This window comes from Homo sapiens, chromosome 2, assembly GCF_000001405.40.
Source record: "Homo sapiens chromosome 2, GRCh38.p14 Primary Assembly".
NCBI classification, from domain to species: Eukaryota; Metazoa; Chordata; class Mammalia; order Primates; family Hominidae; genus Homo; species Homo sapiens.
The window spans coordinates 101,433,221-101,451,769 of record NC_000002.12 but is presented as its reverse complement, the minus strand read 5'-3'; the positions used below and the strand labels follow the sequence as shown (position 1 = coordinate 101,451,769).

At 43.7% G+C, this 18,549-nt stretch overlaps 1 protein-coding gene across 13 annotated transcripts in view; it reads left to right on the top strand.

Annotated features, from left to right (window-relative positions):
* The window catches only part of RFX8 (regulatory factor X8), a 77,754-nt gene that overhangs the window by 23,343 nt on the left and 35,862 nt on the right, over positions 1-18,549 (top strand). For 8 of the 13 annotated variants that reach the window (NM_001367508.1, NM_001367509.1, XM_047445739.1 and 5 more), the window contains one exon: positions 1,090-1,176. The exons of 4 other annotated variants lie outside the window; for them this stretch is intronic. Coding sequence is in view for 6 of the 9 variants with exons in the window: in XM_047445739.1 (XP_047301695.1) it covers positions 1,090-1,176 (87 nt within the window). In the remaining 3 variants the exon portion in view is untranslated. Of the gene's footprint in view, positions 1-1,089; positions 1,177-18,549 lie in introns of those variants that run through there. One more of the 13 variants, XM_011511773.2, reaches the window with a different exon arrangement.

Sequence of the window (18,549 nt, the reverse complement as noted above, 5' to 3'; positions counted from 1 at the left end):
TCACAAAATTAGCATATTTGAATTATATTCCGGAGGTGCGGTCCCGAGGCTATATTACTTTTCTTTTTTTTTTTTTTTTTGAGACGGAGTTTCACCCTTGTCGCCCAGGCTGGAGTGCAATGGCGTGATCATGGCTCACTGCAACCTCCGCCTCCCAGATTCAAGCGATTCTCCTGCCTCAGCCTCCCGAGTAGCTGGGATTACAGGCGCCTGCCACCACGCCCGGCTTATTTTTTGTATTTTTAGTAGATACAGGATTTTATCATGTTGGCCAGGCTGGTCTCAAACTCCTGACCTCAGATGATCCACCCGTCTCAGCCTCCCAAAGTGCTGAGATTACAGGCGTGAGCCACCGCGCCCAGCCCCAAGGTTGTATTTCTAACGTGAAAAGAAATTCCAGTATTATCGAGTGCCTTGTGTCATAATTGTCACTCAATTATTATTGCTATTTGTTGCTTGTTTTAAATTGCGAGGGGAAATCAGCGAGAAGACATTGAAGCCAAATTAGGAAAGGGGGCTGCCACTCACCAAGGAATTGAAGACAGTGGAAGTGTTTGCCAAACCTAATATTGGGCAATAATTAACTAGAAAAAATTTTGTCTGAAGCCGGGACAAGCTGCTATAGTCCCCTGGGCTTAGCGGAGGAAGGTGTGGGCTGCAGAGAAGGCTCTTGGCTTCCCTCCTGGGTTTCTGACAACTTCAGTGGAGGGAGCCTTGGTATCATTTTCCCTTCACCTGAAAAAGGTTAATGGGTGCTGGGGGGTCGGGGGGCAGTGGTTGAGGGCACAGGGCAGGGAACAGGAGGCTTTCCCTATCACATCTCTCTAAGATTAGTGTGTGCTGCATCAGGCAAGCAGAGGAGAGCCTCCACAAGCCTATTTCAAGGCTGATATGTGTGAAAGTGTATGAAGTTGCCTGTCTACATAACAGAGCTTGGTCAGACTGAAGGATTAGCTTTTCCAGAGAAATGCAGCCAATGCTAAAACCTGGAGAAGAACTCCAAGTCTTCATTAGTTCGCCTATTCTCTGCCTTCCATAAAGCATGTCAGTAGTTAGACATAAATTTAAAGACAACCTTTATTTTTCCAGGTATCATTATGATGGAATCTGTATCAAGAAAAGCTCTTTCTTCTATGCCCAGTATTGCTACCTGATAGGTGAAAAAAGGTATCACAGGTTAGTAGCTATCATTTTGGCACTTTGGTCTTGGGTCACAAGCCTGGTGAATGTTAGAACCATTCAGGCCAAGTGTGGTGGCTCACGCCTGTAATCCCAACACTTTGGGAGGCTGGGGCACAAGAACCGCTTGAGTTGAGTTCAGTAGTTCAAGACCAGCCTGGGCAACATGGCAAATCTCCATCTCTACTAAAAAATACAAAAGTTAGCCAGGCATGGTGTTGTGCACCGGTAGTGTCAGCTACTCGAGAGGCTGAGGTGGGAGGATCACCTGAGCCTGACAAGGTCCAGGCTGCAGTGAGCCGTGATTGCGTCACTGCATTCCAGCCTGGGTGACAGAGTGAGACCCTGTCTCAAAATAGTAATAATAATAATAAATTAATAAATAAAAGAACCATTCATATTTTAGTTGTATCTAACTGACTTTTTGGTTGTTCTGTCTTTAAGTCCTCCTTAAGGAAACACACATATCACATCAACATTTAACCAATGTCCCTTTGTCAGCCTCTGGCAATGTCATTGGCCAGAGAAATCCATTTCTGGTTCATTTCCTTAGACATTTCTCATTTTGAGTGTCATCCAGTTGCCAAAGCCATTTTTCGCTGAGTCTATCCTTCTCAACCTTTCTGCAAAATTTGACACAATTGGGCACCTCTCTCAAAGCTTCCTTTAGCCCTCAGGACTGTGTCATCCAACCCCCACCAGCCCTGAATCCTTGGTCTCCTGCTCTTTCCCTTCTCCATTAAGCTTAGGCTCTCCCCGAGATCTCATCTTGATAATCGCCATTACTCTTCCTACTGTTTGGCCCCAGACATCTCATCCTTTTTTGTCTTTCACCTATGGCCTCCTGCAGGTGGATGACTCCTGAATCCTTCTCACTGGTCCTGACCTTGCCCACCTCCTAGGCATTCCTCCCTGGCTCTCTACTGGACATTTCCACTTCGATGACCCACTGGTACCTCACACTCAACATATGGAAATCTAAATTTAGCCTCTTCCTCCAGATTGTCTCTGCCCCTTGATTTTCTTAGTTCAATCTTGATACCAACAGATAGAACCTATACAAAGTGTCACCCCAAAGCCACCCCTGACCCCCGTGGGTCACAAAGCCTTGTTAACTTTTCTCTTTAAGTTCTCCTGAACTCACTCTTTTTGGTAACCCATATCTCCTTTAATCCTTTGTCATCTTACACTGAAATTATTTCCAGTGATCCCATATGGCCTTCCCCTCCTCAGCCTCTCCCTGCTCTAAACACAGCTACCAGATGAATCCTCCTAAAATTCTACATTTGCTTTGTCTCTTTCCTGCTCAGAAACACGTGAGTGCTTGTTCTTACCTCCTGGATAAAGGCCAACCCTAGGCTGGTGTTAGCCAAGTTTCTTCTGACTCCACTTTCCAACCGTGTGTTGCCTATTTCTCCCCAATATCAACCATAATTTAAGCCACACTCACTTTTCCCTGAACATATCAAATGCAGTCCACCTTTGCTCCCACCATCCAACCTTCCATAGTGCCATTTCTTCTTGTCTCTGTCTAATGGGACCTTCCTGAATACCATCCATACCTTCTGGACATACCTCAGAGACCACCTGCCCCATGGGACCATCCCCAACAATGCCAGCTACAGGAAAGTTCTTTCTTCCACTTCTTCATGCTGACCACTGTCCATCCATACAACCAGCATTCCTGCTCTTTGAGCCTTCTTTGGCATAAAAAGATGACCATATGTCCAAATAGCCAAGGACAATATCAATTTCACTTGGAGCCCTGCATAATTATTAATTGTGCTTCTTTCACTCTCAAAGGTGTTCTAGTTTGAACAATAAATTAAAATGAATTATATGGTCACCTTTGGTATAAAGCATCCTATGTATGAGGCAGCTGCTGTGGTAGAGAGATGAGGAGCCTCCAGTATGGGTAAGACAGGGACCCTTTTCTCTGATAGCTGAAGAGGGAGGCTAAGATGTCCATTTACTTTGATCCTCAAATATAATATGACGAGTGTCAGAAATGTACAAAAGGTACCATAAGAACTCAAAGATGTGCAGCACACATTTTGGGTAGGGGATCATGAAGGGCCTACAAGGGCGTTGGGCTTTGAGTGAAGCAATGAAGAACAGATTAGAATTTTGACAGGTGGTGTCGGAGAAGGAGGCAGGAGTGCAGAGGACATCCAGGCTTAGGGGAGCAAAGATAAAAGTACATGAAGGCATGGGCTTCGTCCTGTACAGGCATGCATGGAGCTCTAGTAGAAGAATATGAATCTGGAGGGAAAGTTCAGGGGGCCTAGATTACCAGGCTGGGCAGTGGAGGGTGTCCACAAGTCCTTTGGAGGCTTCCTTTGAGAAATAGGGTGGAATATCCACAAGGGCAGAAACCATGGAGCTTTGTTTGTTTCTGTCCTGCTGTGGTTTGAATGTTTGTGTCCTTCCAAAATTCACACTGAACCTGATCCCCAATGCAACAATCTTAAGAGGTGGGGCCTTTCCAAGATGATTAGGCCATGAAGCCTCCACCCTCATGAATGGGATTAATAACCTTATAAAAGAGGCTTCAGAGAGCTAGCTGGCCCTTTCGTCTCTTCTGCCATGTGAGGGCACAGTGTTCATCTCTGTCATCCTTCTGCCTTCTGCCATGTGAGGATGTAGCAACAAGGTACCATCTTAGAAGCCAAGAGCAAGAACTGGAGGTTGTTATGTTAAGTTAAATAAGCCAGACACGAAAGACAAATATTGCGTGTTCTCACTCATAGGAGAGAGCTAAAATAAGTTTATCTTGTGGAGGCAAGAGTAGAATAGTGGTTACCAGAGGCTGGAGAGAATAGGGAGGAATGAAAGATGGGTTAATGATTAATGGATATCAACATATGGTTAGACAGAAAGAATAAGTTCTAGTATTTGATAGCCCAGTAGGGTGACTATAGTTAATGATATATTATGTGATATATTATGTATTTCAAAATATCTAGAAGATTTGAAATGTTCCCAACACAAAGAAATAATAAGTGTTTAAGGTAACGGATATGCTAAACACCCTGATGCATGTATCACAATATCACATGTACCCCATAAATGTATACAATTAGTATGTTAAAAAAGAAGAAGAAGCAGCAAAGAGCAAACTTTTACCAGACACCAAATCTGCCCGCACCATGATCTTGGACTTCTCATTCTCCAGAACTGTGAGAAATAAACTTCTTTTGTTTATAAAGTACCCAGTCTAAGGTATTTTGTTACAGCTGCAGGAACAAGGACATATTCCCAGAGTGGGCACTGAAATAGCTATTGGAGAACTGAAAATTCAGCCTTGCGGTTTAAGAATAGTTGGGAAAGGAGAGGGTGATGAGCCTGGAGATGGCCCCAGGGCTGCTGCCGTTGTTCAGATTTGCACTGGAATCAGACAGGAGGCAGGTCTGAGAGACCTCTTAGAGGCAGGGTCTTCAGGATCTGGCAGTTGGTTGAGTCAGTGTAGTAGAAGGGAGCAGAGATGATTCAGTCAAGCCTGTCCCACCTAAACCTCAAACTCAACCTCAAATAAAGTCACTGTGCTCTGCGCCAAACCAGCTCTTCCTCTTACATCTCTTATTCATCTCTTAGTCACGGGGATGGAAAAGTTACATTGGCAAAAATAGAGAAGCTAGGAAAAGGAATAGCTATAATGAGAGATTTATTTTAGTGACTGTTAGAATGTCCCTGGTGCGAATTTGTTCTCTCACTTGCTGATCTGTAGGCTCCTGAAAGGCTGGGTGTAGATCCTGCATTCCATTGTGTGCCCCCCCACCCCCACCCCCTGGCACCTAGCAGTCAGTTAACTAACAGACAATTTGGAGAGCCCTGCATGCTCCAGGAAAACAAGTAACTAGGCAGGCACTCGGCACTCAGAGGGGAGAGACCATTAGCGTCCCGGGGACTCTGTTTGTTTCCGATGTCACAGAGAGAGGGGCTAGGAGTGTCCTTTGTGGGGGAAGGAAGATAGGCTTTATCATCGGTGAGGAAGAGGAGGACTGCTAGAGGACAAAGATAAAGGCAAGAGTGACATCGGCTGGTCATGAGATAAGGCCAGCAACAGGTGCTTTTCATGTACTCTATGCTCAGCATATACTTAATAATTGATCAACTTGGCTGGGAGCGGTGGCTCAGGCCTGTAATCCCAGCACTTTGGGAGACCAAGGCGAGTGGATCACGAGGTCAGGAGATCGAGACCAGCCTGGCCAACATACTGAAGCCCCATCTCTACCACAAATACAAAAATTAGCCAGGTGTGGTGGCACGTGCCTGTAGTCCCAGCTACTTGGGAGGCTGAGGCAGCAGAATCGCTTGAACCTGGGAGGTGGAGGCTGCAATGAGCTGAGATCACGCCACTGCACTCCAGCCTGGGTGACAGAGTGAGACACCATCTCAAAAAGAATAACAAAAAACAAAAACAAACAAAAGTAATAGATCAACTTTAAAGTCTTGGCCAACTAAGAAATTTTTTTTTTAAAGCATTAAGATTTAAGGATAACTTCACTGCCAATGCCACGTTCAGAACATACAAAAGTGTATTTTAGAAAGCACAAGTGTAAGAAATGGTACACTGTTGTTAATGAGCTGTACTGATGAAAAGTGTCTATTTTATTATATAAGGACCTGTGTGACAAATTCCTCTTAAAAATTAGGTCTCAAAATAAATAAGTTTATCTCTCTGGTTTTCAGGTAATGAAAACTCTATAACTCATCTGCCATTTACTTATTTGTTCATTCATTTGAGTTCCTACAATAAGTCAGGCCTGTTCTAGCTACTGGTGATATAGCAGTGAATAAGATAAACAAGGTCTCTCCTTTTATTAGCTTAGTTAGGAAAAAAGAATAAAAAAGGACAATAGACCAGGCATAGTGGCTCCTGCCTGTAATCCCAGCACTTTGGGAGGCCAACATGGGCAGATTGTTTGAGTTCAGGAGTTCGAGACCAGCCTGGGCAATAAAGCAAGACCCTCATCTCTTCAAAAAATATAAAATTAAAAATTTTATATTTAATATATATTTATATATAACTATTAGCTGGGCATGGTGGTGCACTTGCGGTCCCAGCTATTCAGGAAGCTGAGGTGGGAGAGTAACCTGAGCCCGGGAGGTCAAGGCTGCAGTGAGCTATGATCACGCCACTGCACTCCAGCCTGGGCTACAGAGCAAGACCCTGTCTCAAAAAAAAAGGAACAATCGCGAGATGTGGCCTGAAGACAATACAATGGAGTCATGGAGAGGCCTCCCTGAGACAACACCATTTGAACAGAGTGCCAGTCAAGGAGCCAAGTGAAGATCTGGAACAAGCATTCCAGGCAGAGGAAAGGGCTGTGCAAAAGGCCTGAGGCAGAGATTAGTTCAAGGAGCAAGAAAGTCTGAGGGTGGACTTCAGTGGGTGAGCAGGAGGGTGGGAGGAGAGGAACCTGAACACAGAGGTGAGGTAGAGGTTAGAGAGACTAGGGAGAGGCTTTTGTGGCAGCCCTGGAAGAAACAGCCCATTGAGATGAATGACTTAAATAACTTTAATTCTCCCAAGAAGCAGCAGCACACTATGCAATACTACATGTGGATAAGAGCAGATACTGGAACAGACTGCCTGGCTCTACCACTAGTAAGCTGTGTGATCTTAGGCAGGTCACTCAATCTCTCTGTGTCTCAGTTTCCTCATCCATTAATTAAGGATAACAGTATCTACTTCATGGGACTGTTGTGAGATTACATTAATTAATACAGGGAAAATGCTTAGTGCAGCATCTGGCACACAGTAAACATTCAGTAGGGCTTCTAAGCATATTGATCTGTACTTTGATGTATTTATTTTATCAAGTCTGCATGATTTTTTCATGGTATTCATATATTATTTTTACTCTAGTTATTGTATTTTTCAGTTGCATAATTTCCACTTGATTCTTTTGTATGACTTATATGACTTTGCTGAGGTTTTCAATTTTTTCATTTGTTTCAAGAGAATTCACAATTATTTGTTGGAGCATTTTTATAATGACTGCTTGAAAATCCTTGTCAGATAATTCAACATCTGATTCGCCTCAGTCTTGGCATCAGTTGATTGTCTTTTCTCATTCAAATGGTGACTTACCTGGTCTTTGGGATTATGGGTGAGTTTCCATTGTATCCTGGGAATTTTGGTTATGTTAGGAGACTCTTGATCCTATTTAAATCTTCTGTTTTAGACAGAAGGCAGTTGCCCTGTTTAGGTTTAGTGTGTAGGTTCTGGCCTACTTTTATGGGCTGTGGGTCCAATGCCAGCTCAGTTTCCTGAGCCTTTGCATGCTATTCTTGTCTGCTTCATTCTTCTGGCACTGCTGAGATTTCTGATTAATCCCTAGTGGTGCCACCTGCAGGGGCTCAACCCACTTCCATGGACCACTTTCTGTGGAGAGTGGGGAGAGCCAGAGTGTCTGGGCCTGGGTCTCCTTATGCCCCTTGGTGTAAGGAGGGAGGCATCAGGCTCTGCCAATGTTGTCATGTGGGGAGCATGACCTGCCATTTCAGTGCTCCACACATGGAATGGGCATTGAATTGACCCACGGCTTCACTACTGTGCATGCAGGTGGAGAGTAGTGACGCTACATACACATACCCAGAGCACTGGCAGGCAGGCTGATCCTGATCCGGACTGCCAGTGCTCTGGGTGTGGGTGTATGGAGCGTGGAGGTCAGTCTACCAGAACTCTGAAGCTGCTACTGTGGGCAGATGGGTCACCAGTGCATGCCCTGGTTGTGGAAAGAGGGTTGCAGCCCCCTACTAGGTCTCCACTGGACTTCCCTTCCCTTTCCTAGTCCTTTGGCCAGAGTGCAGGCTTTTCTTTGGATTTTATGCCTACACCTATTGACGTAACAGACTGTGTTGCACATTTCTCCAGTGCTCAGTCCAGGGGTGTGTGGAAGACAAAAAGAAAACCCAGGGAACCCACCACATTGTCATTTCTCTACTCCTGTCGTCTCTACCCAGTCTACCTTCTTCTTTCCCGCTTTCAGAGCTCTTCTATCCTTGTCTGTAGAATAATTTCCAAATATGTAGTTGTATTAGAGGCAGGAAAGGAAGGTGAATCTACACCACCTTGTTCCCTGTACATGATTTGTAATACAAGCTACCACAGATACTTTTTGAAAACAAACCATATATACATTAGGAACCAATATTACTAGTGAGTGGAATGCCTGATTATATGATTGTGCCTAATACTTCAAAATATGATCAGTCAAAATACGATGGTGGAGACTTCTGGTTGGGACAAGATGAACCTATTTCTCCATGCCCCTCCACACTAAGCACAACTGTAAACCCTGGAAATAATGCAAGAGGCAACCAAAGGAAAACTCCGAAAGGTGGTGATAAGAGAGTGAGCTGGTTTGGGACCCAGGACTGTACAATCAGCACCGCAGCAGAGCATCTTGCATCCCCCGCCCTGCACCCTGAAACCCAGACTCAATGTTTCCCAAGCCTGACGTAGGAAAAGAAGGCAACCCAGGTAGATTCATTCTTCCTTCCTTGAGTTGCTCTAATAATATCAGGCAAAATAATTTTGGGGGTGGTTAATAGAGAAAATACTCTCCTTCCTTCCTGGGTCTGAGACACCCCTTTTCTACCAAGAGATACTGAGGGTGTGAGCCGATCTGCCTAGAGAGACCCAGCTTCAACAAGCCTCTTGGTCCAGGAAGCCTCTTTGTTCTGCAGCCTGACTGACACTCTTCCGCTCCCCAGAGGCCGCCAGGAGCATCAGTAGGAGGAGCACCTCCCTCATGGAGAGAAGTCCCAAGGTCTAGCCTGGGGAAACCCTTCTCCCTCCTCAGGTAGCACCAGCAGGAACCAGTGGGAGGCCCAGAGGCACCAGAAAAACCAAGCAGGCTGAAACAACACCACAAAGGCTCTGAAAATTAAGCTTTTGAAAACAAAAAACAAAGGAAAAATAAAACCCTGGAAGCAGGCAGAAAAATAACACATTACCTATAACAGTGATTTGAATGGCAACACATTTATCATTGAAACCACCAAGAAAGCCAGAAGGAAGTGGCACAAAAGGTTTCAAGGGCTGAGATAAGAACTGTCAACCACAATTTCTACATCCAGCAAATTTATTTTCAGGAATGAAAGGGAAATAAAAATATTCCCAGGCAAAGAAAAACCAAAAAAATTTGCCACTAGCTGACTCACCCTTAGAGATCAGCTAAAGAAAGTTTTTCAAAGAGAAAGGAAATGATAATAGAAGGAATGTTGGAGTATCAGAAGAGAAAAAACAATGGGAAGAGCAGAAATATGGGATACATACAATACACTGTCCTTTGCATCACAAGTTCTATGAATCATGTTTGATGAAACAAAAATCAGGCCTCCATCTGGTACTTGAGACAATGATATTTAAAAGTGGGGAAGGTAAAGAGGCCTAAATGGAAAAAAGATTTCCACACCTCACTCAAAGTAGTGAAACATCACCACCAACAGACTGTGGTAAGTCACGTGTGTCTATTGTAATACTCATGTGACCACTATGAGAACTATACCAAGAGATGTACTCAAAAATACTACAATTAAATCAAGATAGAGTCCTCAACGTTGTTTAATCCTCAGAAAGGCAAGAAAAGAGAAATAGAAGAAGAAGAACCAAAGGAAACAAATAGAAAACAAGTAATAAAATGGCAGACTTAAGTGCTAACATACCAAGAATTCCCTTAAATGTAAATTATCTTATATAATCAGCCAAAAGACAAGACTGGCAGAGTGAATTTAAAAAGAAAAAAATGACTCAAGTATGTACTTTTGCCAAGAAACTCACTTCAAATTCAGTGACATAGGCAGGTTGAAAGTAAATGGATGGAAAAGATGTAACATGCAAACATTAATCCACAGATAGCAGGAGTGGCTATGTTCATATCTAATAAAGCAGACTTCAGAGCAAAGAAAATTACTAGGGACAAAAAGGGACTGACTTAGTCCATTTTCTGTTGCTTATAACAGGATACCTGAAACTAGGTAATTTATGAGGAAAATGAATTTATTTCTTACAGTTATGAAGGCTGAGAAGTCTAAGTTCAAGGGGCCACATCCAGTGAGGGCCTTCTTGCTGACAGGGACCCTCTACAGAGTCCCGAGGTGGCCCAAGACATCACATGGCAAGGGGGCTGAGTGTGCTGGCTCAGGTCTCTTCCTCTTTTACAAAGCCACCAGTCTCATTCCCATGATAACCCATTAATCCATGAATCCATGAATTCTTAAGGGCAGGGCCCTCAAGACCAAATCACCTACCTCTTAAAGGCCTCACCTCTCAATACTGCCACATTGAGGATTAAATTTCAACACAAGGGCTGGGCGCAGTGGCTCACGCCTGTAATCCCAGCACTTTGGGAGGCCGAGGCAGGCGGATCATGAGGTCAGAAGATCAAGACCATCCTGGCTAACACGGTGAAACCCCGTCTGTACTAAAAATACAAAAACAAAATTAGCCGGCCGTGGTGGCGGGCGCCTGTAGTCCCGGCTACTCGGAAGGCTGAGGCAGGAGAATGGCATGAACCTGGGAGGCAGAGCTTGCAGTGAGCCAAGATCGTGCCACTGCACTCCAGCCTGGGCGACAGAGCAAGACTCTGTCTCAAAAAAAAAAAAAAAAAATTTCAACATGGGTTTCAGAGGGGACAAATATTCAAACCATAACAAGGACCTTATATAAGGATAAAAGGATCAATCCCCCAGGAAGACATAACCATCCTAAATGTATGCACACTGAACAATCAAACTGCCCTTTCTTTTTCTCGAGTAACGCTGGAGCCGTACTTCAGTGAATTCAGGTTATTCTAGCAAATCTCACCACTGCGCTAGGGATCTCCAAGACCACCTCCACTTGCAGAGATCCAGTAGAAGGACTCACAGGACTTAGCATTTAATTGTACGCATGGCTAAGATTTATGACAGTGACACAGTAAAGATACCCAGGATCATGATGGAAAAAGAGGCAGAGTCTGGTGGAACCCTTGTGAGGCTTCCTGTGTGCTCTCCCCTCCCCCATGAGGGATCATACAAAGTTCACTCCTCCCCCAGCAATGAAATGCAGCAACATGTGTTTGAGGTTTCTTCCCAGGGAAGCCCGTTAGCGACTCGGCACCTAAAGTTTTTATTGAAAGCTGGTCACATAAGCACCCTATGTCTAGCACATGCCAACATTATAGACTCCTAAAAGGAAAGCAGGTGTTCAGCATAAACCATATTGTTTGTACAGTCTAGGCACAGGGAGCCACTCTTATCAGCTAACGGTTGACTGGGAACACTCCAAGAGCCAAGTTCCCAGACCCTAGCCGAGGGCCAAACTTGGCAGCAGAGCTTTCTACGAGAGCAGTCTCAGGCCTGCAGTGTTATCTCTTTTCTGCACAGCTGCATAACCCTGTGGATATGCTTTAAAAAAAACATTGACTTGGACTCTTTAAACGGGTGAATTGTATGGTATATGAATTATCTCTCAATGAGTTTTTTTTTAAAATCTCAGCAAGATTTTCTTGTAGACATAGACAAGCGTCTTCTAAAAAGTTATATGGAAAAGCAAATTGCTCAAACAAACTTGATGAAAAGGAATAAAATGGGAGGAGAACACTCTCCCTTATATTAAGGCTCACTGTATAGCCACAGCAATCAGGATGGGGTGGTACTGGTGACGGCATGGACACACCGATCACTGGAACTGAGTGGAGGATACAGAAATAGATCCGCTCGGCTATGCGCGGTGGCTCACACCTGTCATTCTAGCATGTCGGGAGGCCGACAGGAGAATCGCTTGAACCCAGGAGGTGGAGGTTGCAGTAAGCCAAGATTGTGCCATTGAACTCCAGCCTGGGTGACAAAAGTGAAACTCCATCTCAAAAAAAAAAAAATCTACTTAAATATGTTCCACTGATTTTTGACAAAGGTACAAAATTAATTCCATGAAAGGGGCTGCTTTTCAACAACTGGTGCTGGAACAATTAGAAACCCACAGGCAAAAAAAAAAAAATGAACTTCAATCTAATCTTCATAATGTATATGAAAATTAACTCATAATGTATATGAAAATTAACTCAAAATGGATCGTAGACTTAAATTTAAAACATAATATTAAACTTTAAAAACCTTGGACAAAATCACTGGGACTTGCACACAAAAGGTCTCAGACCAGACACCAGAAGTATGATCCATAAAAAGAAAATGTAAAGTTGGACCACATCAAAATCAAAACTTTTGCTCTTAGAAAGCCCATGTGAAGAGGAGGGAAAGACAAGCTACAAATGGGAAGAAAACATTTGCAAACCACATAACTGACCAAGGACTAGTATCTAGAATATAGAAAGAAGGCTCAAAAGTCAACAGTAAAAGAAACAAACAATCCAATTAGAAAATGGGCAAAAGACATAAACATACGATAAAGCAATTGTAAATAAGCACATGAAGGGACACTCAGTCCATTAGTCACTGTGGAAATACAAATTAAAACCACAATGAGGCCGGGCGTGGTGGCTCACACCTGTAATCCCAGCACTTTGGGAGACTGAGGCAGGTGGATCACCTGAGGTCAGGAGTTCAAGACCAGCCTGACCAACATAGTGAAACCCTGTCTCTACTAAAAATATAAAAAATTAGCCTGGCATGGTGGCGGGCGCCTGTAATCCCAGCTACTCTGGAGGCTGAGCCAGGAGAATCGCTTGAACCCAGGAGGCAGAAGTTGCAGTGAGCCAAGATTACGCCATTGCACTCCAGCCTGGGCAACAAGAGCGAAACTCCGTCTCAAAAAGAAAGAAATAAATAAAACATAAAACCACAATGAGATGTCACTACACACCTACCAGATTGACTAAAATAAAAAGTAGTGACAGCACCCAATGCCAGCAAGGATGTAGAGAAGCTAGGTCACTCACACAATGGGAAGGTAAAATGGTCTAGCCACTCTGAAATACAGTTTGGCAGTTTCTTATTAAACCAAACATACAATTTACCACCCAAACCAGCAACTGCACCTTGGGCATTTATTCCAGAGGCATGAGAACTTATATCCACACAGAAACTTGCACACAAACATTCATAGCAAGTTTAAGTGTAATAGCCCAAAACTGGAATCAGCCTAGATGTCCTTCATTAGGTGACTGTAAATAAACTATGATCCATCCATACTGTGGAACACTACTCAACAATAAAGAGGTATAAACTATTATTTGGAAGCAATCTAAGTGTCTATCAACTGATGAATGGATAAAGAAAATGTGGTACATATACACAGTGGAGTACTATTCAGCTGTAAAATAGAATGAGATCCTGTCATTTGCAACAACATACATAATGAATAAGATCTAATATTCACTAGCACAACAGCTGATGATAGTCAATAATAATTTAATTGTATATTAAAAAAATAAAAGTATAATGGTATTGTTTGTAACACAAATGATAAATGCTTGAAGTGGTCGATACCCCATTTATCCCAATGTGATTATTACACATTGCCTATATCAAAATATCTTATGAACTCCATAAATATATACACCTACTATGTACCCACAAAAATTAAAATTAAAAAAAAAGAGGAACAAACTATTGACACACAACTTGAATGAATCTCCAGGGAATTTTGCTGAGTGGAAAAAACTCCAATCCCAAAAAGTTATATAGCATATGAGTCCATTTATAAAATATTTTGAAATGACGTAGGGATGGGGGAAGCAAGAGATGAATGTGGTTGTTTGTGGTGGTGGATACATGAACCTGCACAGGTGATACGATTGTGTAGAAATAAATATACACACAAATGAATTTAAGTAAAACTTGGGGAATTTAAGTAAAACTTGGGAAATTTAAGATCAGCAGAGTGTATCAACGTCAGTATCTGGGTTGTGATATTATACCACAGTTTTTGTAAAATGTAACCATCGGGGGAAACTAAACAGGGTGTAAAAGAGATCTCTCTGAATTATTTCTTTCCTTCCTTCCTTCTTTCTTTTCTTTTCTCTTCCTTTCTCTTTTTTTTCCTTTTTTTCTTTTCTTTTTTTTGAAACACCTGTTGCCCAGGCTGGAGTGTGGTCACGTGGCATGATCATGGCTCACTGCAGCCTTGACCGCCTAGGCTCAAATGATCCTCCCGCCTCAGCCTCCTGAGTAGCTGAGATCACAGGCAGGCACCATCATACCTGGCTATTTTTTTGTTTTGTTTTTTTGTAGAGACAGGGTCTTGTTGTGTTGTCCACACTGGTCTTGAACTCCTGGCCTCAAGGGATCCTCCTGCCTCAGTCTCCCAAGTAGCTGGCGACAGTTGGGAGTCACTGCACTTGGCTAATTATTTTTATTTTTTTTGTAAGAGACGGGTCTTATTGTGTTGCCCAGGCTGGGCAACTCCTGGGCTTAAGTGATGCTCCTGCCTCAGCCTCCCAAAGTGCTGAGATTACAGGCGTGAGCCACTGCACCCAGCCTGAATTATTTCTTACAACTGCATGTAAATCTACAATTATCTTCATAAGAATTTCAATTAAAAATAATAAATCAAGGAGAATCCTATAATTCAGGAAAAGACATCATGACAGGCCCCATGAAGTATCCCACAGCCCTTTCCTGCCCATTTCTTGGAGGGTCCGAGGTCTCAGGGTTTCTTCCGCTGACACCCATTCTCTCTTCTCATGGTTGGAGTGCGACTCCTTCCTTTCTTTCAAAGCACTCTCCTGGCATTTTCATCTGTGCACACAGTTGCTTTTCCTCTGGACGCACAGGCATCGTTGCCTTTAACAGAACCAGAGCAGGGCTCCTTAGCAGAAGGAGGTCAGCGGCCAACAGAGGACCAGAGCGCTGCCCCCCTGGAGGTGGTCAGTCCCCATGGTGTGCAGCTGTGTGTGCTCAGGGTGCGTTCTCACACACGACTTTTACGAATGCCATCTCTATTGTGTTTAAAACCCAGAAGCGAGCTCTCTAGCAAACCTATGATGAGTATGTTGGTCTTTCCCCAATGTTTTATGCCTGGGTGAAGCAGCCATTTCTCTATGTGTGCAGCAATTGAGGAGTGATTTACAAAAACTCTCCTACTAGTATTTGCCTAAGGGAGGAACTGGAATTTCATTTTGGTTGGGGGTGAGGGTGGTTAAAAAGAGCACGCCTTGCTAGGACCATCTTAGAGTAGAACATACAAGCTCTCCCAAATCAGTTCTCAGAGTCACTGAGCTGTGCACAGGCTGTTCAAGGGCATCTCAATTGTCTTTATCTCTTCTTTCTGGACCTCGTGTTAAGGAAAGGAATGGAAACACCAATAAGAGCATTGTCGTAGAGAGATTTGGCCATGAACCAGGATTGTAGCAAAGGGGCGACTTCTCTCACTACCACCAAGTACTCCAAAGAAGCATAGAATCTAATTAAAATAAATGTAGTCTCAAGATAAGCCCTTATCTCCTCCCTATTGCTTCTATATTGCCCCCTAAGCCCTGTAAATTTAGAAATTCTGATTCCCAGGTCCCTGAACCTGCACATCCCGCTCCTCCCTCCACACCCGTCTGCTGGGGAGGGGAGAAGAGGGTGCCCACAGATGCAGCAGGGGGGTCGTGACAGAGCCGGGAACCAGGGCGCTGGTGGCCCACTTAACTGGACACCTGGAGAGGTGGCTGAGCAGCGGGTGGGGGCGTTCGTTTTCACTGGGGTGGGATGGGAATTGTGGTGAATCGTGCTGAAAAATGCAGAGGCAGCATCCGTCCTCACCAAGGAGAGACCAAGGTTTGATTTTTAAAACAAATGAACAGCTTGAGGCTATTTTTTTAAATGAAAATGACCATAAATGTGCAATGTGTGCCATATGAACAAGACCACCTCACAAAGTCCAGCACATTCCCCCTCCCTTCCTGCTCCCCTATCAGGGCAGAATGGCCTCCCCAGATTCCAATCCCGTTTAGTTGGCAACCAGATTGAGGCTTGGACCTGGGTATAATTGCTGACTCAGAAATTCAGGGAAGAATCCAAGCCAAAGTATAAAATATTTTATTATTGTCTAGGGGAACAGGGGAGTGGAGAATGTGTGTGTGTATGTGTGAGTACGTGTGTATATGTGCGTGCATTATATCACATCTGGAGAAACAGCTCTTTGTAATTAACCTTTATTCTCTACCTCTTAGGCAAAATCCCTGGGTTTTGTTTCAAGGATAAATTTGTTGTCATTTTCCAAACATGAATCCCCATTCTATGTCATGTAAAGTCTGCAATCAGCCATTGGGAGGCTCAGGTTTCCCTTGGGGATATGTGGAAACTAAGCCTCGCCCTCATCCCTCCCGAAACACACACACTTTCCTCTCTCACCGTGTCAGCTTTTTCAGCTCGGCTTTATTAAAGGCCTTTAAAAAGCCTCTAAAACTGTGCCTTCAACACGCCGTGCCTTTGTTCTTCCACGCCTTTGTTCTTTTGCCAGCCATGAGCTCAGGGGGCTGCCTGGCGGGCCTGAGCCTGGGGAATGCAGGGCCTCGGGTCCACAGCGGCTGTGCAGACGGCGGAGCAGAAGAGGGAGAGGTTCGTCTTCCAGGCTGCACCGCGCTGGCGGCGAGCGGGTTCACAGGGAGCCGGCGGCGGTGGTACCACAGCCTGGTGATGTCAGACACCAGTGGTTCTTTCAGAGGGGTCTCTCCAGCCCCAAGCAGGAAGCTGTTTTCCTTCTGTGTGTGCAGCCAAGGCCCCTGGAGGGGCTGAGAGTCGGGGCTGAGTCTTCCTGGGGCCAGGGCCCCCCAACAAGGCCTCCGATGAGCCCCAGAGGACCTCCCTCTCAGGTACTAATAAGGTGTCCAAGTTGCAACCCGCTTTTTGGCCTTGTCCACCCTATGGTTTTCAAGGCTGGTTGGAACTTGCTAATGCTAAAAAATATGTATTACCTTGGTTGCTGTCTGGCAGCTTAAAATACATGTGTGGAGAATAACAGCCTGGACTGCACCCTTCCTTGCTTGGGAAAGGTTTTAAAAGGAGGTACCGCTCAGAATACCTCTCACATCGGGAACTGTTATCATTTTATCGCTCACTTGCCCATCTCCAACAGACAGACGCCCGTGCAATGCAACGTCTGTTGCATTGCTATTTGCTGTCTGCCAGTGAAGCTTGACCCCCAGTGGCTGAGTTTTGCCTCAAGAAGGTGATCGTGGATGTCTTATACTTCCCACACTTCCACAGGTCTCCCCCTCGGTCATCATTTTGCAGTTAAGCTGTTCATAAAATCGAATGGGTCAGGATACAGTTAAGTAATATAACAGTAATGGCCCCAATGCAGAAAACAGCTAAACCACAACACACAGAAGACCAGATTTTAAAGAAAGATTGTTCTTGTTAATTTTCAGTTTCAAAAAATTGATATCTTACTTTTTGCTTCTTGTGTACATTTTTTTTTGTCACACATGTGATTCCATCTTAAAAGACAGAATCATAGAATAGGTAATATTCTACTCTGAAGTCAGAGCGAGGTCTCCAGCTCTGTGAATTCTGTTTGTCCTTCTTCATCTGCAAGTTGGGGATAATTCTTATCTACCTTACTAACAGGTGTTCATGAGAACTAGGGTAAAACAAGTAACACATTTAGGATGAGTAAGTGCTGAGTGTATTTTAATGATTAATATTATTGGTATAATCAAAATTATATTAGTTTTTCAAAATTATAATGACATATGTCTCAATGTGAATATATATATTTACTATTTTAACATATGTAAAAATATTCATCAAGTCAAAGATATCTTCTCTTAATCAAAACCAAAATAATTACTTCATGTGCTTTGAGGAAGAGTTACGATGAGAACCTTTAATGATTGGAAGATGAAGTGCCTTTGCTCTGAAATCTGACACGGAACAAGTATGGTACATGAATTAGGTTTTATTACATTTTTATCCTCTTACCTTTGTAATTGCTTCAAGTTGTTTCACCACTGGTTAGAGTGATTTGCGAGGGCAATTTATGATGCCAAAATGATGTCAATGAAAGTCTGGAGTAATGACAGATGATGTCAAAACCTGAGAATGTAAATGCAAATTGTAGTTAGACTAAAAAAAGTTAATGCCAAAAAGCATATTAAGCTAACACTACATTTGAAAGATTTTATGGGAAAAATTAAAGAAACAAGATGAGTTATGTGCTATATAATTGTGTCTCAGTCCTCTCTATGCCTGACTTTTTTTAGACAAATTGATCATAAAAATTAAAGTAAATCATGGTTCTCAGTCTGTGTCTTCACTGTACTGAGTGAAGTGGGCAATTTGCCAGTGCCCAGAAGAAACCAGGCCCTCCTCCATTGTCCCTGCATGAAGCCCAGAAGGAACCCTCAGACCATTGTGTAAGACCTGGGGGACCTCTGAGTCCCCGTGTTCCAGTGAGAGCTGGAAAAGGTCTTGGGGGGCGGTCACCAA